The 24,357-nt window shown below is 44.2% G+C and overlaps 1 protein-coding gene and 1 pseudogene across 9 annotated transcripts in view; both read right to left on the reverse strand.

Moving 5' to 3' along the window:
* Positions 1–24,357, reverse strand: part of ZZEF1 (zinc finger ZZ-type and EF-hand domain containing 1) — a 138,586-nt gene that overhangs the window by 39,774 nt on the left and 74,455 nt on the right. For 7 of the 9 annotated variants that reach the window (XR_007065288.1, NM_015113.4, XM_005256561.3 and 4 more), the window contains exons 27-38: positions 22,945–23,024; positions 22,229–22,322; positions 20,143–20,611; positions 18,535–18,699; positions 14,953–15,072; positions 13,776–13,937; positions 11,998–12,127; positions 9,839–9,977; positions 7,753–7,918; positions 6,563–6,825; positions 5,490–5,641; positions 6–156 (exon numbers count right to left, since the gene is read on the reverse strand). Coding sequence is in view for 8 of the 9 variants with exons in the window: in NM_015113.4 (NP_055928.3) it covers positions 6–156; positions 5,490–5,641; positions 6,563–6,825; positions 7,753–7,918; positions 9,839–9,977; positions 11,998–12,127; positions 13,776–13,937; positions 14,953–15,072; positions 18,535–18,699; positions 20,143–20,611; positions 22,229–22,322; positions 22,945–23,024 (2,091 nt within the window). In the remaining variant the exon portion in view is untranslated. Of the gene's footprint in view, positions 1–5; positions 157–5,489; positions 5,642–6,562; positions 6,826–7,752; positions 7,919–9,838; positions 9,978–11,997; positions 12,128–13,775; positions 13,938–14,952; positions 15,073–18,534; positions 18,700–20,142; positions 20,612–22,228; positions 22,323–22,944; positions 23,025–24,357 lie in introns of those variants that run through there. The other 2 variants (XM_017024384.2, XM_011523759.3) reach the window with 2 other exon arrangements.
* On the reverse strand, positions 12,538–12,658 carry RNA5SP434 (RNA, 5S ribosomal pseudogene 434; annotated as a pseudogene).

Here is a 24,357-nt window from a genome sequence, read left to right on the forward strand (position 1 = left end):
TTTACCTGGAAGTCCTGTAGGTGGGCTAGCATCTGCAGGTGAATCTGAAATTTGGGTCTGGCATGAAGGATCCTTCGATAATGATACACCTTTATCTGCCTTATTTCTCTGCTTGAAATCTACAGGTCTGATTTCCTCATGAACAGCTCTCTTTCCCTAAAAAAACAAAAGTGTAAAAGAATTAAGGTTTCTTATAACAAAGTTTGCTCCATGATTATGATAACTTTTTAATGATTAGCCAGTCTTCATAGACTAAAAAACTTTTGAATGCCATTAGAAAATGCCACTCATTTCTTTTTTCTTTTTTGTGTGTTTTTTTGAGATAGAGTCTCACTCTGTCACCAGGCTAGAGTGCAGTGGTGTGATCTCGGCTCACTGCAACCTCCACCTCCCAGGTTCAAGCGATCCTCCTGCCTTAGCCTCCTGAGTAGCTGGGACTACAGGTGCGTGCCACCATGCCCAGCTAATTTTTGTATTTTTAGTAGAGACAGGGTTTCACCATGTTGGCCAGGATGGTTTCGATCTCTTGACCTCGTGATCTGCCCACCTCGTCCTCTTTAAGTGCTGGGATTACAGGCGTGAGCTACCAGGCCTCGCCTATGCCACTCATTTCTTATGGTAAATCTATATTCTAATTAAGACAGTAACTGTCGGGCTGGGTGTGATGGCTCATGTCTGTAATTCCAGCACTTTGGGAGGCCAAGGCGGGCAGATCCCTTGAGGTCAGGAGTTCAACACCAGCATGGCCAACATGGCGAAACCCCATCTCTACTAAAAATACAAAAATTAGCTGGGCGTGGTGGCGTGAGCCTGTAATCCCAGCTACTCAGGAGGCTGAGGCAGGAGAATCGCTTCAACCCAGGAGGAGGAGGTTGTAGTGAGCCGAGATTGCGCCACTGCACTCCAGCCTGGGCGACAGAGCAAGACTCTGTCTCAAAAAAAAAATAAGATAGTAACCATTGCATCGCATCCCCCATCTTCCAAATGTCCCTCTGTCAGAGCCTGCAGTCCCATAAGAAATGGCTCTATTAAAAACCTCTCATACATTCTATTCAGCTTTCAGAAACCAAGCATGGAAAGTTGTTCCCAGAGGAAAAAGACAAAGCTATGAAATTCTTTCTTTCTTTTTCTTTTGACTCTGTGAGTATAAAAAGTTGTGACTTCCCTTCTAGTACACTCTGGTGACTATCGTTAATGTACTTTGTTTTCTTCAGTATGAAAACCAAACAAACCTTTATTTACAGAATAATTAGAAAATTCTTGGTATCTAACATTATCTTTAATATGATGAAGATAAGACTACATCAATTCTATAGCCTAGAAATATGACATTGTTTTCACTGCCACAGATGAAGCTATTTTATTGCTGTAGAAACTGGCATTCTGTGGGCTGTGGGACAGAGTTGTGGGTTGTATATATTTCCTCTCTTACTTTTCTATAGAATTTGCCTTTGTTAATTAACATGGAAGGTGTACATAAAGCCAACCACACATGTCACTTGATCAAACAAAACCGGATGCTACTCCTAAACCTAACTAATCACACCCTTTCTACCAGGTTTTAGCATTCTTTCCTAGCTGCTGTTTCCTAGATGCTGTTTTTTTGTTCTTGTTTTTTTTTTTTTTTGAGATGGAGTCTCGCTCTGTTACCCAGGCTGGAGTGCAGGGGCGCCATCTCGGCTCACTGCAAGCTCCGCCTCCCAGGTTCAAGTGATTCTCCTGCCTCAGCCTCACGAGTAGCTGGGACTACAGGTGTCCGCCACCACACCCAGCTAATTTTTTGTATTTTTAGTAGAGATGAGGTTTCACTGTGTTAGCCAGGATGGTCTTGATCTCCTGACCTTGCGATCCACCCATCTTGGCCTCCCAAAGTACTGGGATTACAGGCATGAGCCACCACGCCCGGCCTCTTTATTTTAAAAAACAGAATAAACATACCTTTGATGCCCTTTTGAGAATCCCACTTTGGCAATGAGACTTGTTAAAGGGGCCCTTTCTGGAGGTGGGAGACTTTTCTAGAATCAGGAGTCTAGTGGTGAGCTGCCCAGATGGGCAAGGTGACAGCTGTCAGCTGCATTTCCTGAGAAGTCACTCAGAATCCCCCCAGTGACTGTTTGCACTCCTGGGACCCTCAGGGTGCCTTTCCCTATTGTCACACAGGCTTATGTGTGGAACTGTGGCTACATGGGAAGTGTTATGTGCATGGTGGAGGCACCCCAGCTTCAGGTCTGAGAAGGCCAAACGTTGACTTTCACTCTTTGGGGCCAAAGGTGGAGTGTGATTCAACACCAAACATTCAGGAGGTGACATGCCGTCTCCCAGGGGTACCTAACTCAGCCTCCCCTCTGCATATGTAACCTCAATATCAATCCTACCTTCAACCTCTTTCTGAGAAAAATGTGACTGTAAGACTGTCCTAAGAGAGGAATGAAACTGGGAGAGCTACTTGCTTTGTTAAATGTACCCTCTGAAAAGACCCGACACCATACTCCCTGTACCATATGGCACTTGCGAAGACAATATAATTCCCAAGTTATGGCAAATGACTTATCTTTTTTCCTGTTATCACAGGACACTGTAAACAGAATCTTCTGGATGATGCCTCTGGCTAAGGTTAGTTTCTCAGTTGTTGAAAACAAAAAGTATCTCTAGTCATTGGACGGAGAAAAGGTAGATACCCTTACCAGGGCCCTGGGGTTGCTTAGAAGCACGTGAGAGTTGAAAAACAGTGATCTGTCCTAGGGGCCCCAATGGGATACAGTCCTTATGGCCACTGTAGTGGCAACACTCAGGTTCAGTTGTGGGGACAGTGCTGGAAATTGCTTGCAGCTTTACTTGAAGACTAAGAGGAAGAGCCAGAGGCAGGATACCCTGGGCGCACCCGGCTGCTGGTGGGTGGGAAGGGGACTCAAAAGGTGGGAATGGCTCAAGAATAAAAACAGTGCCCTGGGACCTCTTTGGAAAAAGTCCCATTTCAATCCTGAAGCAGGGAAGGCCTAAAACAAGCCTGAAACATCTTTCTCTATCAAAAATTAAGGAACTGTTCAAAAAATAATGGCAACATATCAAAAGAACACAAAAGCCAGGGAGGAGCAGTTTCCACTGCCCAAACATGGGACAATTTGAGCATCAAAATAAATAATGGGTCAGGCACAGTGGCTCAGGCCTGTAATCCTAGCACTTTGGGTGACTGAGACAGATGGATTGCTTGAGTCCAGGAGTTCGAGACCAACCGGGTAACATGGCAAAACCCCATCCCTACAAAAACTACAAAAATTAGCTGGCATGGTGGCATACACCTGAAGTCCCAGTTACTTGAGAGGCTGAGGTGGGAGGATCGTTGGAGCCCAGGAGGTGGAGGTTGCAGTGAGCCAAGATCATACCACTGCACTCCAGCCTGGGCAACAGAGTGAGACCCTGTCTCAAAAAAAATAAGAAAAGTGGCCGGGCGCAGTGGCTCACGCCTGTAATCCCAGCACTTTGGGAGGCCGAGGCAGGCAGATCACGAGGTCAGAAGATCGAGACCAACCTGGCTAACATGGTGAAACCCGTCTCTACTAAAAATACAAAAAATTAGCTGGGCGTGGTGGTGGGCGCCTGTAGTCCCAGTTACTTGAGAGGCTGAGGTAGGAGGATCATTGGAGCCCAGGAGGTGGAGGTTGCAGTGAGCCAAGATCATACCACTGCACTCCAGCCTGGGCAACAGAGTGAGACCCTGTCTCAAAAAAAATAAGAAAAGTAATAGATTTTTATCCATTGAATTAAAAAAAACCCATAAAAAAACCCTATTAAGTCCATTCTGACATAAATAAAAGGATAAACGGGGAAGCACAGTGCTTATGGGTGGAAGGTTAGTTTTAAGATGCTGAGGGCTCACAAGAAGATACAAATATTCCCAGGCTCAAAGGTGAGGACTACTGATTAATCCCATTTCTCCTAACAATGTTCTCTTTGTTCCCATCATAATCCGTGGGTGGTTAAAGTGCCGCCTACAGAAGACGTTTCATGGAAAAAATGTGGACGGTTGAGAGACAGGCTTGATGATTATGTGGCCTGTCTTCTACTGACTCTCTGGCTGAATGGAAATAATAAAAATGTTGATGTTTCTGCTGGCCAGTTTTGCTTTTGTATTCCTCCACATGAGAATGGGACCTTGGTGAGCTACAACCACCAGATGGGGGAATCCTTGAACTAGCAACCTGACAGACAGAGGACAGCAACATCAGCGACCCCTGTGGCAGTCAAGGGCCTTTTCAGCAGAAACACAAGCTCTGGAGGCAGCATCATAGAAACAATGGCGTGCTCTTCCATAAAACAATCTTTAGTGCCACTATCACAGGTTATACCTGGATCCAGAATAGCTTTTCTGTTTATGCAACTATGTGTAAATTACTGCGTCTACCCGGTAAACAGTAAGCATCAGTAACACCTAACTGTTGACTGAATATAAATACAGCTACACCGATACAGTGTACACCATGGGCTAGGAATGACTTTTTTTTGGTTGTTTTTTTTGAGATGGAGTCTTGCTGTCGCCCAGTTTGGAGTGCAGTGGCGCCATCTTGGCTCACTGCAACCTCCGCCTCCCGGGTTCAAGCGATTCCCCTGCCTCTCGAGTAGCTGGGACTACAGGCACGTGACACCAGCCTGGATAATTTTTTTTTTTTTTTTTTGTATTTTTAGTAGAGACAGGGTTTCACCCTGTTGGCCAGGCTGGTCTTGAACATCTGACCTTGTGATCCGCCCACCTTGGCCTCCCAAAGTGCTGGGATTACAGGCCACTGTGCCTGGCCAATTAATTTCTTTAGGTGCACAATCTTGTTTAATTCTTATAAAAACTACCAGGAGACAGGTAATGGGAGTGGTTAACACAGATATGGAACTTACTATCAACTCTTCTAAGCACTTGACATACAGTAGCTCAAAGTACGTCATATATACAACTCCTCACAATAAGCCTATGTTACAAGTATATCATCATCCCCATTTTATAGATGAGAAAACTGAGGCAGGCTGGGTGCAGTGGCTCATGCCTGTAATCCCATCACTTTGGGAGGCCAAGGCCAGAAGATCACTTGAGCCCAGGAGTTCAAGACCACCCTGGGCAACATGGCGAAACCCTGTCTCTACAAAAAATACAAAAATTAGCCAGGCATGGTAGCACATGCCTGCGGCCCCAGGTACTCAGAAGGATGAAGTGGGAGGATCACTTCAGCCTGGGGAGGTCAAGGCTGCAGTGAGCCAAGATCACGCCACTGCACTCCAGCCTGGGTGACAGCGAGACCCTGTTTCAAAACAAAACAAAAGAAAATAAAACAAACACTGAAGAGATGATAACAACATGCCCAAGGTTTGATGGAGCAGGCATGTGAATCCAGCAGTCTGGGTTAGGAGTCTGTGCTCTTAACCTCTCTGCTATGCTGCACTGAGTGAATGGCTCTCTCTAGAGTTCAACCTGTGATTCTGTGTAGTAAAGAATCGTCATTTACATTGCCTGCTTCTGACAGCTCAGCACCCTGGACAGCTTTCTTCTCTAGCTGCTCCTCTGACGCTCCGGTGGGCACAGTGACTGGTAGGGCCTGATCTTCTAGGCTCGAGTCCCCATCTGGCAATACACCCAGCAAAGCTAGAGCTTTAAGGCCTATGTGGGAAGCAAATCAGAGAATGGTTAGAAGTTTTATAATGAGAGTTCTTTTCAGCAAGTGCCATAAGTTACTTTGCCATTATATAGAAATAAATAAATGAGTTCTGCACAAACCAAATCCTAGAGGACTCAACGTGAACATCCCTCGCTGTCTAAATCTACTCAGCTCCTCCTCTCAGATGGTGAGAGGCTGAATAGCAAGGGATACCTGCACTTTATACTTTATTAACAACAGAAGATAAAACATATAACAGGATTGTCTATTTAGAAAATAATCAACATTATACTTTTATACTAGCCCCACACAATCAGACTGCTCAATTCTCACTGGCAAACTGGTATGGGAACTGCTCTAAGGTGCTGGCGTTACCCATGTGCTATCTCATACAGGCCTGGTTCCCTAATGTTGACTAGAATGGGGATGCCATTATCTGAAGGAACTTAGATGTCTCCAAGGTTTAACTTTCAAGTTGCTTTCTTCCCACCACTCCTTAGTCGAGTCAGATTCATGTCGATATATTGCTAAACTATTTTACTCGTAAACAGCTCTCATCTAGAATACACTTGTGTGGAAGCAGATTTACACTCCAGGTTAAGAAGTCTGGATTCTTTCAGCAAAGTTTGGTAGATTCAAATACTAGACTGCATCCACAGATATAAAGAGTTTTAATTATTATTTAAAATTAGTTTGAGGTATTAATATTAGTTTCAGAGAAATTAAATGTTGAACTTCAATGCCAACATTTCTCTAAAATCCATCGGGGAACTTAAAAATTAAGTTCCACACCAGGGTAAGCCCCTTTTGTGGAAAAGTGGATGTTGCCACCTGTAAACTAAGCTTAGTATTTTACATTTGCCAAGGCTTTTTTTCACCAGCAACTGAGGGCTGGTTTTGGTTTCTGTGCATTGGGAAGTCACCTTTTCCCTGATGAGCCTTCATCAGACAGTCCCCGACGAGCTGCATGCACTGGCTCCGCAGGGTGGTGGCACTGCTGCGCGTCTGGGGGTCCAGCTTCTCCCCATCCACATCCTCTGCACTGGCCAGGTGGGCGCTATAGAGAGCCAGGGCAGCAAAGAGCAGCCAGGAGTAGTTATGGATATATGGCTGGATGAGCCTCTGCCGGTCACTGATCCGAATGGTTACCATTGGGTGGGCCGTGATGCTGTGGGTAGGCAAATGGCTGCAAAGGCAAGACACATTTAAAGCTTACAACCCTCCAAAAGCTTTTGTGGCTCCAAACAGGAGCACAGGGCCTTAGGAGAGCATGTGGTCGCAACTGGGCATTAGTCACCTCTAGGATGCGCTTACTGAAAATGTAAAGAAAGGTGTGGGCCCTCTCTCCAGAAAAATGAAGAAACACAAACACAGAACATGCCTTTCAGGGTTTCACAATCCCCAGAGGTTGTCTGCAGAAATTGGACTAAGGAAGAATTGCTTATTGTGATTTTGGAAGGTGTGGTAATAGCATTTTGGTAATGTGAATAAAACCCATAATTTTTAAAGGGGGGTATAAAGTATGTAGGAAGGAAATAATTTAAGGCCTGGAATTTGCTTTATTTATGTATTTATTTATTTGAGATGGAGTCTCGTTCTGTCGCTCAGGCTGGAGTGCAGTGGCGCAGTCTCAGCTCACTGCAACCTCCGCCTCCCAGGTTCAAGCGATTCTCATGCCTTAGCCTCCCAAGTAGCTGGGATTACAGGCACCCACCACCACACCCAGCTAATTTTTGTATTTTTAGTAGAGACGGGGTTTCTCCATGTTGGGCAGGCTGATCTCGAACTCCTGACCACAGGAGTTCGCCTCGGCCTCTGAAAGTGCTGGGATTACAGGCGTGAGCCACCGAGCCTGGTCCTGGAATTGGCTTTAAAATACTTTAACACAGGAAAAAAAAAAAAAAGCAATAAACTAAGCACACATTACAAAATCTTCCTAACTGCTGAACCTGGGTAATGGGTACATGAAGGTTCACTGTGTTAGTCTCTTTACTTTTGGTTATGTTTAAATTTTTAAATAAAAAAAACTTTTTTAAAAAAAGAAAGAAGTCCCTTTTCAAGTGAAGGAACGTGTAAATAAAAGGCTTGGTGGCGACGGTCACTTGAGACATACCCGTAGGAGTATTTCTTCGCTGCATAGCATCCGTAGCAAAGATCAAAGTCATCGCAAACATTGCAGTTCATCCTCCGGCCTATGATCAAACCCTGGCAGTGGTCACAGGTAAACTCCATGTTGACCATTTCATGGTCGTCTCCGTGGCCCTCAGGCTTCACCCCACCTGAGGAGAAACACAGCAGTGTGAGGGGATGAGGTAGAGGGCTCCTAGATGGGCTAGTTTCCAAACCCAAACCAACCCCAGCACCAGGGCCGTTCCCAAGTGACTGCTCAGGGATACAGGGCCCACAGGCGTTCTCTGGAGACAGGGTGCTCTGCCTGGGTGGCTCAAGGCATATGAATGAGACTCTTGGCACAGAATTTCTCGGCAATGGTACAGTGAGATCAAATGCATTATCAGGACTGCTGTTTGGTGGAAACAAGTCCACATGTTAATTTGTGAGCTGTCTCCTATGACCCCTCCACTAACAAAGAGTAAGCTTCTGTTGATGTATTCCTGTTAACAAGCACTGAGGACTGATCAGGATATTTGCTCTTCCTTTTTCACTCCAGAATCACAGATGAAAACAGACTTCCAAAATAAAAAAATAAAAATTAAAAAATTAAAAAAGGGCCAGGCGTTGTGGCTCATGCCTGTAATCCCAGCACTTTGGGAGGCCGAGGCAGGCAGATCGCTTGAGTCTAAGAGTTCAAGACCAGCCTGGGCAATATGGTGAAACCTCGTCTCTATTGAAAATACAAAAATTAGCCACGTGTGGTGGCAGGCACCTGTACTCCCAGCTACTTGGGAGGCTGAAGCAGGAAAATCACTTTAACCCAGGAGGCAGAAGTTGCAGTGAGCTGAGATGGTGCCACTGTACTCTAGCCTGAGGGACAGAGTGAGACTTTGTCTCGGGAGGGCGGCGGGGGAGAAAAAACCAGACCCAGACCCAGTGAGTGAGAGAGAATAACAGTCAGGAAAGAGATGGGCTGCACTGGTCTCCTTCTCACTCTAAGGCCCTTGGGCCCTTCTCACTCTAAGCTCTGTCATGGACCCTAAAGAATGCTCCTCGCGCCTGGCCCACTTCTGTTCATTCTCACTGTCATGAACCCAGTCCAGGCTCCCATGCCTGTGTGAATACTGTGACTGATTTCCTAAAGGAGACTCTTAGCACTGACAGAACCACCTTCCTCTAGCATAGCTCTCATCATGTTATTAATAATACCTACTTCAAAAACCTTCCCTGCTGTCTCTAGACTATTCAAACTCCTTAGCCTAGTATCTTGGGGTCCCACAGTCGGGGGCCCCACCTGTCTTAATCCATCACTTAGTTGGGCAAACATTTCAGCATGGCCATCTAAAGTCACTACAGACACTCCTCTGTCCCAGGGTTTGCTATGCCCTTGATGGTGATACCATCCCCAACGTTTCCTACACATCATCCAGTTCTAACTTCCTTCAAAAACCAATTCTCATTCCACCTCCTTCACGAGCCTTCCCTGCAGCAATGCTGCTACTGCTTCTAAACTTTTCCAGAAACAATCTGTACCCTCCTTTATAACTCAGCACACACATTCTTGTACTGGAATAGACATTCTGTGGATCTGTCCAGTCCTCCTGCTGGACTGTAGATGGTTCCAGGGCAAGGGCTGTCTCTTACCACTGGGCCATGCACAAAAAGGCCAGTCAGGTGTGCACTACTGTGCATCTGTTTTACCTCAGCACCTAGAAGTCAAGTGTACGAGGATTTTTGAAGCTTGCTTGTGTATGTGTGCGTGTGTATTTTGCTACATGTAAACACTGCATGATTCAGAAGCAAACACTATTTCCTGAAAACTCCACTGAACATACATACACTGGTCCCGAGTGTTTATTATGTGGCTACACCCAGCATGATAGAAGAAGGAAGCACGACAGATATTAGGGCTGTGGAGCTTTTCATTTAGTTGAGGAGATAAGGCTCATGTTCGCCAAGAAGTCAGAGAAAATACCACTGGGCAGTACTTTGATTTAGTACACTGAGAGTTTTTAAAAATGACAAGATCATAGAAATCAGAAGTGATATTGCCTTTGGATACGGCGTACCCAGTTCATGAAATTTACCTAGGAAGCAAGTTTTGCAGAGATCCATGTCGCTGCACTGCAGACAGCGGTATCGATGCCAGGGGGCAATCTCATCACACCCATCACAAGAGATGTCCACATTTAACAGGTCACAGTAGCGAGCAATGAACATGTGCATCTGTAAGGCCAAACATATACAATTAACTGATAGATTTTCTAAGGTGGCCACAATTCACTAATCAATTCCTCCATTCACTAGGTACTGAAGATGTTCCAGGCATTGTACTAAGTGCTAGGATTTGATAATGAATAAGCTCCTCAGTGTCTAGTTGGGAATTCCATCAAGGAGGTGATGACCATTTAGTATGACCAGTGCTTTCACAGGAAATTGCAGGAGGCTTAGAGGACAGAGGACTATGGCTACCAATGGGTATTCAGAAGGTCAAAGAAGGTTTTCCAAAGGAGATAATTCCTCAGGTGAGACCCAAAGGACAAACAGGTACTAGACGGGTCGGGGTAAGGGAGGTGGGCATGTCAGATAGAAATAGCAAATTTGACAGACAGCAAAAAGGGGATGAGAGACAGGTTTATGAAACTGGCATGACTCAGTGCGTCGAATACAGTACAGAGGGGAAGAGTCAGATGAAGAGAGAAAGGTTAAACCACAAAGGGCCTTGCATATCAGTCTTAGGAGTTACAGATTGTTTTTAGAGAGAAGAGTAATGTGATCGGACTGGAGTGCTCTTCTGGAAGTTGAGGAAAGAATGGATCAAAGGGGCAAGCCTGGACTCAGTGAGACTGACCATGACCAAAGCGTTAAAGGAACCCCATGGCACATTATAAGGGCTGGGACTGAGTAGTAGGCGGGATGGTGAAAGGTGCGTAGATTTGAGGTGTTGAGGCAGAAGTGGGAAACCTTGGTGACCGACTGGATATAGGGATCAGTAAAAGGGAAGAAAGTTTCTGGCTTGGGTACGTGGTTGGACGATGGTAGTGTTCACAGATACAGGAAACACTGCAAAAGGAGTACTGTCCCTGGCACTTACAGGCAAACTTTCTGCAGGGATAGTCTGGGTACTGTCTAATGAGCAAACAAATTGCTTTACTGGAAAGTACTTGGACTACAGTATTGTTTCTCTTTAGGGCCTGGAAATGAGGGATCTAAATCAGTAAGTCATACAGTAGACCAGAGCAAATATGCCAAGTCACCTTACAACTACAGAACTCCCAAAAGGTATTAACATATGCGAGAGAAAAAGCCACAAAGGCCCACTTGGCAAGCTCCATCCAAGCACCACAGTGGTGCTACGTGAACAAAGTGGTTGGCACATAGTAGGCACTCGATACTTAGAAAATGAATGAATCTGAGGCAGCAGATGCTTGGCACATGTGGTAGCGATGGATTTAACACCTGACGTGGAGATGGACACAGTGGGCTATCTGAGCCTGAGCCTTTGCACATCTGAATCATGCAGCTCTGATGCCCTCTCTATACATAACGGCTGCTCCCATGCTCACCAGGCAGCCTTCTGATGGAAACGTGGCTTCCCACACTGCTTGTCTACAGGAAGAGAATGTGCTGCTCCAAGGACACTAGAGCCCAGGCCCTCCAGCAATTCTATTTCTCACTGTAAATTAGTAAACTGGCACCTCATATTGTACATCAGCTTTAAGAGCCAATTTTTCAATGAGTCTAGTTCTACGGCAGGGAGCCACTCTGAGTGTAGTCAAATCAGGATTTATAGCCCCTCAGGTTAAAGGTTAAACACCAGACGCTAGGGCAGCAGTCCCCCTTTTTGGCACCAGGGACCAATTTCGTAGAAGACAATTTCTGCACAGGACTGGGTGGGGGATGGTTTCGGGATGAAACTGTTCCACCTCAGATCATCAGTCATTAGACTCTCATAAGCAGCGCACAAACTAGATGCCTCGCATGCGCGGTTTATTGTGGGCTCATGCTCCCGTGAAAATCCAATGCCGCAGCTGATCGGACAGGAGGCGGAGCTCAGCCTCCCTCGCTTGCCTGCTGCTCACAGCCTGCATTCGGTCGCATTCAGCGGTTGGGGACCCCTTCACTAGGGTATTGAATGCCACCTGCAGCCCTCTCAGGTAAGAGCCTGCCAGAACCCCCCCAGGCAAACTCTCCTCTCCAAACTCCTAGCAAATCACTTCAGAGTACTCTAGTTGAGAGGTCTTACTTTCCTCTGCTTCTCTGGATCTTCCTGGGCTATTTTTTCATACCAGGCCTCAAACATGCCATCCTGACACTCATCCATCCATTCTGAATTCTGCTTGGCATCAGCAAGCTCATCTTCTTCACTCCATTGGCTGAAAGAAGGACATAAAGAGAGAAAAGCATGCCTCTCCCAATCACCAAGGAAAGTACTGGTTAGCAGACCCTGTGTCTATAGGTCTATTATATTGGGCATTTTTCAACTTCTGAGAGGGAAAGGTCAACTGCTTTTCAAAGCCCCAGGATTTGTCAAATATTTGGTAGATATATGCCAAGAAAGAAGGAGAAGCCCTTTCCAGAGTAGACTATAAGGGATGAGAAATTAAGAGTTTGAAAGGTTGTACCACATGGCATAATTCCACTGGACAATCATTTATGGTGAACCTACTATGTGCCAGGCACTAGGGCCAAATAAAGTTATTATTATTATTATTATTATTATTTAGTCTGATTTAGACATGCTCAGCATATCCTGGTGGAATCAGTACGAGAAGGGAATCAGGAGACACTGTGACTTCAGCTCTACCACCAGCTGCTGTGAGACCTTGACACATGACTCAGCCCTGGTCCTCAGTCTCCCCATTTCAGACGAGATCAGGTGCATTCAGGGTGGTATGGCCACAGTTTCCTCATTTCAAATAAAGCGCTTCAGGTAGATAATCTTATAAGTTCCTTTTGGATGCAAAATTGTAAATTTCCATAATTTCAGTTTACAGCTCGTTTTAACAAATAGAACTTTAAACAGAAAAAGATTTGCTTAAGAGCAAATACAAAATATTTACCAAGCTACAAATACACATTCATTCATTCATGCATTCCAACGAAATGGTTTTGGGCCTACACTCATACTCAAGCTTTGCGCTCGGTGCCACGGGGGCTTGCTGTAAAGGGCGCGCTTCCTTCCCTGAGGACTGTGGCGTGCGGGGAGACAAAGCGAGAAACCGCGAGCAGGCCCACAGCCAAGATCCACAGGCTCATGCCCCCTAGTGCTGCCCCGCCTCTGCCAACGGAGCTCCAACAGCGAGGCGACAGCTGAGGTTCGTGAACTAAAGAGACGGCTCTAATTCTGTCCCCTTTTCCCTTGGAACCGCTCTCCTGAGAGAGTGGAGACTGTCCTGGTGTTGACTCATTCACTTCTTCCCACTTCTCTCCTCTTAGTGCATTCCCCCTCCCCTTCTCCTCTTTTCTACACATGAATGGCCACGAATAGGGAAGTGGATTTGAGTAGAGTGGAGAGATACGGGCCAAATCGGAGGGAAAAAACCCTTCATACATGACTTTTTTCTAACTGAGGTCCTTATAATGTGCAAGAAGTTAGAGTGGCTAACATAACATATACATGTAACAAAAATTATGGAAAGGATTTCCCAATTCAGCAAGCTATACTAAGATCACCAAAATGCAGAGGATTCTCGGCCTCAGAGCTCACGAGTTCACCACCACCAATGTACATAGCTCTACTGCATGCCAGACGCGGTTCTAAACACTGAAATACATAACTCAGGTACTCATCACAACAAGCCTCGGAGGCAGCACCATTGTTATCTCCAGCTCTGAAGATGAGGAAACTGAGGCACAGAGGGATTATAAGACTTGCGCAAGGCCACTCGGCTAGGATGTGGCAAAGCCAAGATATGACACAGACAGTCTAGCTCCGGAGTCTGTGCTCTTAACGCCCCCACTATGTTCCTTGCGTTTCATAACCTACATTAGGAACTGCAGAGCGCAGGACCGTGCTCTTACCTGATCACACTGTCATGGACACTTATATTCTCCTGTGACATTTTCATGAGGAGATCTGGTAACTGAATATCAACAAAGAAGGCGAGATCATTGGGTTCCCAGCCCATATCCAAAAGATGAAGCAGGGCTGTCTGAACACAGGATAAGGCAGGGAGCAAGGACCTAAAGGGCCATGAAAGTGACCATTAGCAGAGCTGCTTACTCCCAACAGAGGCAACAGAAGCAATTCAAGTAGGTGACCTGGTTTGCAATTGAAAGCAGAAGGGAACTTCACATTGCTGGTTTGGGTTCCTTTCAAATTCCTCATACTCCACACAAACATCCTTCAAAGCTTACACAAAATAACTCTGAAAAGTGTAAAGTAAGGTTTCCACCCTGCCAGGACCACCACAGGGGTATCTTATGGTAAAGAACTGAGAAGTGAAAATCACTTTCTGATAAACTGCAAGATCAGGGCCAGCTCCAAATTAGCCAAGGTTATGCAGTTTAGATTTACCGAAGAATCATTTGATTTAAGGCTTATGTCTAAACCATTTACTAAGAGGACTGGGAAATGGCTTTATACTCGTTTTCAAACTGTACATAATACATAATATACTGGCTGGGCGTGGTGGCTCATGACTGTAATTCCAGCACTTTGGGAGGCCGAGGCAGGCAGACTGCTTGAGCCCAGGAGCTCAAGGCCAGCCTGAGCAACATGGCAAAATCCCGTTTCTACAAAACATAAAGAAAATTAGCCGGGCATGGTGGCATGCACCTGCAGTCCCAACTACTTAGGAAGCTGAGGTGAGTAGATCAATTGAGCCTGGGAGGTCCAGGCTGCAGTGAGCCACAATTGAGTCACTGCACTCTAGCCTGGGTGACAGCATGAGGCCGTCTCAAAACAAACCAAAAAATCCCTAATATACCAAAACAGAAAATAATAGGCTATAAATTCTTAGAAAAACCCAGACTCATCCCCTTAAAAAGAAAATATACACACCAGACAGAAAAAGGACTGGGAGAAAATATACGAATAAGTTAACATTAGTGATTAGCTCTCTAGGTGGTAACATTAGAGGTTATTTTTATTTTATTCTTTGTGCTTTTTGGTATTTTTGACAGTGAACATATATTTCTTTTATAATCAGAAAAAAATACATTTTTTTTCTCTAGAAATGATAAAGTTATCCAGTACCTGTCATTTAGGCTACTAAATCCTTTAACTGCTTTGACCAAAAACAGAACAAGTTGATAGTAAGTGTCTCGAATTTCTTTGTGTAGATCAGCACCACAGCCTTCCAGGTGTCCAAAATAACTAGAAACAGAGGAAATCACTGATTCACTTAATTGCCAGAACATCTTTTTCTTAATAATAATAATGATTTCTTACATGAAAAAGAGCAAGTGGCAGTCAGCTGAGCAAAGCGGCACAGGAACTTAAGTAAATACAAATATAATACCTATAGAAGGTAACACACAAAACAGCAAGTGAGTCCCTCTGACGGGCTCAAGAGAGTTACCCAGAAGCATGGAGATGAGATTATTTATCTTCTTTGTGAATATAAACCCATCCCTCCCACCACTACTTGGGTGCCAGATACTGTGTTAAGTATTTTTCACAAATGACCTCATTTGATCCTCTCCACACAATCACGCTCACCCCTCTGCCTCCCTTCATTGATGACTTTGGCACCAGCCTCACTGTCTTTTCTACCATGATCCTGGCCATCTTGGTGACTTCAACATCCATGAAAATGATGTCTCCATTCCTTTTTCCCTCAATTCTCTGCCATCTGCATCTCCAGTGATCTTCTCTTCCACGCCCTTAGCCATCTTAGTTTGATGGTCATTTCCTGGACCTTGTTATCATGTGATGACATCATCTCTGACACACTGATGCCAGAGCACCCTACTCTGACCCCAGCTCTCCTGCTCACCCAGGTAGGACTCCAACAGCAGCCTTTTCTTCAATACCAGTGGGCGTCAGCCCAGGACGCTGCCTCATGTTCACTATCTACTACTCCTGCCATGCTTTCTCTCTGCTCCCTTCTCAGCTTAGATTCCATGGCCCATAATCATACCTTAGCAAACACTAACTCCCGTGTCCCTTCCTTCCTCCATGTACTTGCCTGAGAAATCTTATACCTATATCAAAACAGCTGAATGTCATGGAGGAAACACCACACAAGCAAGCTGACTAGTATGACTTTAAATTTGCAACCATAATGATCAAATAAGCCCTCAAAATTGTCAGGCAATTCAGTAGACTGGCTTTCTCAATTTTCATTACTATCAAACCTTCCCATAGGCCAGGCATGGTGGCTCACATCTGTAATCCCATCACTTAGGGAGGCTGAGCCGGGCGGATCAATTGAGGTCAGGAGTTCAAGACCAGCCTGGCCAACATGGGGAAACCCAGTGTCTAGTAAAAATACAAAAATTAGCCGAGTGTGGTGGCACACACTTAGGAGGCCAAGGCGGGAGGATCACTTGAACCTGGGAGACGGAGGCCGCAGTGAGCCGGGATCATGCCACTGCACTCCAGCCTGGGTGACACAGCGAAACTCTTGTCTCAAGACAAAAAAACAAACAACAACAACAACAACAAAAAACAAACAAAAAAAACACTCAACCCCCCACCCCCACCAAAAAACCCCTTCCTGCTTCTCCTGATGCCACCACTACCTCCTTCTCATCCTTCCATTCTCTCTGATGACTATCCTTATATTTTACTTTTTAAAAGAGAAACTTAGGTATCTTGAGAAAGAAAAGTAACAATCACATAGGAATTCCCTTACCTTTGCACCACCAAATATCTACCAGCCAACTTGTGGACACCGTGTGTCCTATTTCCTCACTACTACAGATAAGAGCCTCCCTGGTTCAATCAAAGGCCAATCTCTCAACTTATACAACTGCTACTGCAAATTATCCCCTCTCTTCCTGCACCAAGTTTCCTTATCACTGATTCATTCCCACCAACACACAGAAGTACTCTTACATCTCTTTGAAACCCTCAGTTGACCTCACATCGCCCTCCAAAAACTTCCCCGTTTCTCTGCTCCCTTTGAGGCCAAATTTCTTAAACTAAATGTCTGTAGTCTCTCCATTTTATCACCCTCATTCTCGCTGGCCTTTTGGCCAATGGCTCCAGTAAGACTGCTGTCAAATCCAGTGTGTTTTTATCTCTTTCGAACTCTCACATTAGTATTTGACACAACTGATCATTCTTATCTTTTTTCTTTTCCAGGGAAGGGCACTCACCTGACATTCTTATCTTTTGAGATCCATTCTTCTCTTGACTTCTGGGACAACAGCATCCCCTGGTTTTTGATCTACCTGACTGGCCACTGCTTCTTGATCTCCTTAGCTGACACTCCTTTCTCTGCTTGACTTCTAGGTAAAGAAGTGTCCCTAAGGCTCAGTCCCAGGCCCCTTCTTGTCCATCTCTGCACCCTTTCTAGGAGGTCTTATGGCTCTAAATGTCACCTACATGCCAACTGCATCCAAATTCTATCCCTAGTCCTGACTTCTTTCCGTAACTTTAGTTAAAACGCTGACCTCTGTTTTCTCAATATCTTTACTTGGTATCTTTACAAAAAAGATTTCCAGCTTAACGTGGCCAAAACAAAACTTTTGATTTTCACCCCCATCTGTTTCTTCCATACTCTTTCCCTCACTAAAACGCATCACTATCCACCAGCTGTTCACTCCCAAATCCTAGGAGTTTCCCATGATTCCTTTCCTTCATTTACCCTCTCCATCTTATCCAACCGTAAGTCCTGACAACTCTACCTCTAAAATGCATTCTGAATCTCATCCTTTCCTCCCCATCTCCAGTATTATTCTCTGGATCAAACCACCATCATTTCTTGCCTGGACTACTGCCACAGACTCCTAACTGCTTTTCTTATTTCCACCTCTTTTCACACAGCAGCCAGGGGCACCTCTTATAAATATAAAACAAAGTGTGATCCTCCTGGGCTTAAAAATCTCCAGTGGTTTCCCAACTACAACTTGGTATAACATCGAAATACTTTACAGTGATAAGGGTCCTGCCTTTCTCACCTTATCCCATCCCATTTTCCCTGTCACTCAGCCACACTGGTTTTCGCTCTGTTCCTTGGACTAACTCCCCCCCTGGAGCCTCTGCACTGTTCCTTCTGCCTTCAAGGCTCTTCTCTCTGATCTTAGCTGGTCATTCACCTCTTTGGCTTTCATCTCCTCAGCCTGCCTTCCCTGACCATCCAAACTAGGTCACTGTATTAATCACCACATAACAATATCACTATCTGGTATTTTTTCATTTATTTGGTTTTTTACTGTCTCTCTCTCCTCAATATAATATAAAATCTGCCTTGTCTACTGCTGCATAACACCCAGAAGACATTCTAGCACACTAGATGCTCAAAAGGTATTTATTGAGTTAATCCTAAGAACCACCTTTTGAGGTACTCAGATTAATATCTTTTCTGTAAGCCTTATATTTAGCTCACAGCTTCCAGGAGCCAAATGATGCATGAGTATATGAGGAATGCAATTCTCACCATCTGGAAAGTAAAGCTCATCAACTCACCAGGAGGAATAAATATGTTCCCGGCAGTTACATATTAAAAGGATATAACCCATCTTTCCTTGGAATGAGAGAATGAATTAACCAAAAACGTACATTTGTATCCTACATAGAAATGATGCTGCTATTAATCAGAGAAGATAATCAGGATTTATTTACAATGATCTTTGCTGTTTTCCTTCTGGACCTGTCCTTTGTACTTACTTGGTAAAATCTTTCTGACAGGTCAGAAGTTCCAACAGGAAAAGTATGAAAGGTGGATGGAAGCAGTGGGGCTGCCCAAGGGATTCTGCACAGTGCTGAGTTATCTTCAGGACTTCCAGGATGCTCTGGGCCTGGGCTTTCCTCAGGGAAAGAACCTTCACAACACTGGAGACACAATGCAAGTCAGGAACACCCAGAAAACTCTTGAGCTGGGGCAGACGGAAAATATCCCCGCCAAAGCCCTGATGCCATATATCAAAGAGGAAACACTATTGTGAGGTATTAGAAACACCATGTAGGAGAAGTACCAATACCTCTTTACTATTTTTAAGTCATCACTCAGCAGCACTACAAATCAGTTCATGCCAACTGTCCAGAAGTCCGACAACCCATTATTTAACTTAACGAATTAAAAAGGAACATTGATATTTTCACTTTCCATAGAGACAAAGCCTTAATTCTTAGGACAGGAAATTCCTCACTAACTTAAACATGCAATACTTCCAGAGATGTAGGCCTATGAACAAATAATTTTGTTGGAAAATATCAAATCCTGGCTGGGTGTGGTGGCTCATGCCTGTAACCCTCTGATGCAGAAAGATTCCTTGAACCCAGGCATTTGAGACCAGCCTGGGTAACATAGGGCGGCCATGTTTCTAGAAAATGCCAAATCCAAATTTCTCCCTGGGTTAAAATAAGACAGTTTTATAAGTGGCAGCTACCCAAAAAATGCTTCCTTTTAAAATTCTAACGGTACGTTCTTGAGATATACTTTATAAACAGTATAATATATAAATCTTACATGAAAAAATATCTTTTTTTTGTTTTTCAGACAGTCTTGCTCTATCACCCAGGCTGGAGTTAAGTGGCATAATCTTGACTTACTGTAGCCTCAACCTACCTGGCTCAAGTGATCCTCCTGCCTCAGGCTCCCAGGTAGCTGGGACTACGGGCAGGTGCCACCACACTCAGGTCATTTTTTTTTTTTTTTTTGAGACAGAGTCTTGCTCTGTCGCCCAGGTTGGAGTACAGTGGCGTGATCTCGGCTCACTGCAACCTCTGCCTTCCAACTTTGAGCAATTCTCCTGCCTCAGCCTCCCGAGTAGCTGGGATTATAGGCATCCACCACTACGCCCAGCTAATTTTTGTATTTTTAGTACAGATGAGGTTTCACCATGTTGGCCAGGCAGGTCTCGAACACCTGACCTCGGGTGATCCACCTGCCTCAGCCTCCCAAATTGCTGGGATTACAGGCGTGAGCCACCGCACCCAGCCTCAGCTAATTTTTAAAAAAAATTTTTTGTAGATGGAGGGGGGGGGGTCTCACTATGTTGCCCAGGTTGGTCTTGAATTCCTGATCCCAAGTGATCCTCCCACTTTGGCCTCCCAAACTGCTGAGATTATAGGCATGAATCACCGTGCCCACCCAAAAATTACTTCTTTAAAGAAAAAAAAAAAAATCAAAACTTTTCTTGAATATTCTAAAACAAGTCTTGATCTATCCTAAATATTATTTGTTCGTTTTTAACATGAACTTCAAGCCTCTGACTAGACTGGGTACCTACGGCTTAAAAAGAGAAAGCGACAGGAAGGTAACAACGGGCTTACCTCCTGTGCGAGAGCGACTGATCCTTAATGAAGTCCATGACGTCCTTCAGCACAGGGTATTTCTCTTTCACTGTGGGCACCAGTCTGGCCTCCTCCATGGATCGAAAGGAGAGCAGCCGGAGTCGCCCTCGGGTGAAGGGAGGCCGGCGGGTGGGTGTGGAAGGTGACAAGGGCTCTTCAGCTGTGGCAGGGGACACGTCTGCAGCAGGAAGGCCACTGCTGGATGGCAGCTTTGGCTGGGTGCCCAGGCCAGGACTCTGGTCTCCTGTGGCAGGGGGTGCGGCTTCAGTGGGAGATACTGAGGCTTGGAAATGCTCTTCCACCACAGAGCTTGTCCTCTGACGCTTGTTGAGTGGCTGGAGATGACTGGTTTCATCAGCAGTCTCCAACTTTTCGCAGCTTTCTTTTGAACTTATGCCCGTGGGCAGAAATTTTAGTAATAGAAGACTCTTCTCAATGCACTCTTTTGCTAGATGCAAACAAGAATCATAATTGAAAAAAAAAAAAGTTAAAATTATGGGGGAGGGGGAGGGGAGAGGGATAGCATTAGAGGATATACCTAATGTAAATGATGAGTTAATGGGTGCAGCACACCAACATGGCACATGTATACATATGTAACAAACCGGCACGTTGTGCACATGTACCCTAGAATTTAAAGTTAAAAAAAAAAGTTTAAATTTATTGCCTACTTCTGTAGAGAAAATAAGTTAAATGTCACAATTTAGGGCAAGAGACAGCTTCATGAATAAAGTGATATAGGCCTAGTGTGGTGGCTCACGCCTGTAATCCCAGCACTTTGGGAGGCCAAGGCAGGAGGATCACTTGGGGTGATACCTCAGCTTGGGTAACATGGTGAAACCCAATCTCTATAAAAAAACAATAAATTAACCAGACATGGTGGCACACGCCTATAATCTTATCTACTTGGGAGGCTGAGGCTGAAGGATTGCTTGAGTCTGAGAAGTTGAAGCTGCAGTGAGCCGAGATCATGCCACTGCATTCCAGCTTGGGCGAAAGAGTGAGACACTGTCTCCAAAAAAAAAAACAAACAAAAAAACCAAAAAACGAAAAAGTGATACACATATTTACTGACAGAATAGAAGAACAGAATCAAATTTTATCTCATTATAGAAATCAAAATCTCGCCAGTACTATCAGCACACTTTTTAGAAAAAGTTTTATTGTAGATGTTTTCAAACATGTATATAGAGAAAATACCATAAGGACCCTTCCATGTACCTGTCACTCAGCTTCCGTCATTATTAACTCACGGCCAATCTTGTTTCACCCCCATCAACCCCTCACTCCCCGGATTACTTCCACACACATTCCAGCACCACACTATTTTATCTGTAAAAATTTTTAGCATATTTCTCTTAAAAATATATGAGTTTTAAAAAATAACAACCATAATATTTAAAAAATAATAGTAATTCTTTTATTTCACTGAATATTCAGTGTGAGCACACTTTAAAATCATAACAAGGCCAGGTGCAGTGGCTCATGCCTATAATCCCAGCACTTTGGGAGGCTGAGGTGGGAGGATCACTTGAGGCCAGGAATCTGACACCAGCCTGGGCAACACAGTGAGACCCCTTCTCTAAAAAAAAGTTTTTAATTGCTTAACACAGGCGATACAAAGAGGAAAAAAAAATTTGCCAGGTGTTGTGGCACCTGCTTGATGTCCCAGCTACCCGGTAGGCTAAGGCGGGAAGATTGCTTGAGCCCAGGAGTGGGAGGCTGCAGTGAGCTATATGACTGAACCACTGCACTCCAGCCTGGGAGACAGAACGAGACCCCATCTCAAAAAAGAAAAAAGATGTAGCTCAAAAAGCACCTGATGCCGCCTAAGAGAAGTGATTAGAAAGATGTTCCATTTGGAGCAGGCCAATAAAACATTACTCCTCTTTGGGATTTTCTCTATTTATGATACATCCTTGGATACTATATTTAGCATCTGTGTTACTTTCCCTAGGTCAACACAGCCTCAATTAAGATAATCTAGAAGGTGAGTAATTGGTTTTCCAGGCTCTAAAACGAAAACAGAAGGCTCAGGGACAACAGCTGGTGTTAGCACACTCACCCAGGCTCTCAGGGTTCACCTCAGTAGCTTCTGAACTATGTTTTTCTTCTGCTTCATTCCCCAGGCTCATCAGGGACTTCTGCTTCATCTCTAACTAGGGGAGAATTTGAGCCACATCATTATGCTGTCCAGGCAGGGAAGCAAGGACAGCCATGGCAAACTACTTCAAAAGCACACAGCACTGACACCACAGAGTACTTCACAGTTGTATCATTTAGAGGGGTTTGTAATACTCACAACCTTATTACTTAAAAATTTCTAGAACACTGGTGCTGCAGGGGGCTTTCTCTAAAGCCTATCTAGTACTGATAAAGAAGAAGCTGAGATCTAGAGAAATGAAGAGTCTTACTAGGGTCATAAACCCAGTCTGCTGCAGATTGAACCAAAATTTCAGAGGGGACATCTCTACGTGATGCTGAGACCTAAAACTGGCCATGGTTACCTAGTATCTAAAGCGATGCTGTTCCGCCAACTCTACGGAGTTCCACGAAGGGATGTAAAGAGGGGTCAACTAAATTCTGTTTCCTCTATTTTCAACTGTCCAGACTATAATTTCAAGGGTTCTAAATTGTTTTATATCTATTCATGTCACTAAACTTTAGCTTAACAAAAATCCTAAAGCTATATTCTTGAGAAGAGAACAATTCATCTTAATTCCATGATATCACGGTAGAAAACCTAAAATATAGCAAAATCACATGCAAAGAAAATCTTACCATCCATATTCGAATCCCATCTGCCAAGGAATAAACCTGGGCAAACTCTTCACTCAGGGCTATTTTGCCCCCACTGTTGACTGGGGAGAGAAGCAGAGATGGAGATTACATTCAGGTAACACAATTCACTACTGCAACATTAAGCACAAAAAATCTAAATCTGCTGAAGTACAGGAAAAGTCCTCCTGACAATCACACATTGAGGATGGTAAGAGAGACTCAGGGAAAAAAATATTCAATTAAGCCACAAATACCTGTGTGGGTTCCTGTGTTATTTCAAACTAACTTTTTTCAAACTAATAATTTCTAAAATGGAAATAATTTTAAAAGTGTGTAAAATATTAAAAGATATAAAAATACTAAAAGTAAAAATTTTAGAATATTAACAGTGAGTAAAAAAGTATTTATTGATATGGAAGAAAGTTCATGGTATATTAAGTAAAAAAGCAGGTTATGAAACAGTATAAATAAAATGATCTTATTTAAAGAGAGTTTATATATTTAAAACATGGAAGCCAAGTGCAGCAGCTCATGCTTATAATCCCAGCACTTTTTATTTTTATTATTCTTATTGTTTAAATTTTTTTAAGAGATAGGGTCTTACTCTATCACCCAGGCTGGAGTGCAGTGGCACCATCATAGCTCCCTGCAGCCTCAAACTCCAATCCCAGTGCTTTGGGAGACTGAAGGTAGATTGCTTGAGGCCAGGAGCTCGAGACCAACCTAGGCAACATAGCAAGACTCTGTCTCTACAAAAAATAAAAAATTGTCCAGGCACACCGGCATGCACCTGTAGTCCTAGCTACTAGGGAGGCTGAGGTAGGAAGATCACTTGAGACCAGGAATTCAAGGTTACAGTGAGCTACAACTGTGCCCCTGCACTCTAGCCTAGGCAACAGAGCAAGACCCTGTCTCTAAAAACAAACAAAAAAATAAAATGTGTATGGATACACATATATATATACAAATATACATACATATGAATATACCTACATAAAGTCCAGGTAAATAGAAAAACATTCATAAAGGTTCTAAGTGGTGAGACTGTAGCTGATAATTATTTTAAGCTTTTCTATACTTAGGTTGCTACATAAACAGGTTTTGTTTATAATTAGAAAAATAACAATTTTTTTTGAGACAGAGTTTTGCTCATTTCCCAGACTAGAGTGCAATGGCGCGATCTTGGCTCACTGCACCCTCTGCCTCCCGGGTTCAAGCAATTCAAGCAATTCTCCTGTCTCAGCCTCCCGAGTAGCTGGAATTACAGGCACCTGCCACCACACCTGGCAAATTTTTGTATTTTTAGTAGTGACAGGGTTTCATCATATTGGCCAGGCTGGTCTCAAACTCCTGACCTCTGGTGATCCACCTGCCTTGGCCTCCCAAAGTGCTGGGATTACAGGCGTAAAGCCA

The sequence above is a fragment of the Homo sapiens genome, chromosome 17, assembly GCF_000001405.40.
Source record: "Homo sapiens chromosome 17, GRCh38.p14 Primary Assembly".
Taxonomy (NCBI): domain Eukaryota; kingdom Metazoa; phylum Chordata; class Mammalia; order Primates; family Hominidae; genus Homo; species Homo sapiens.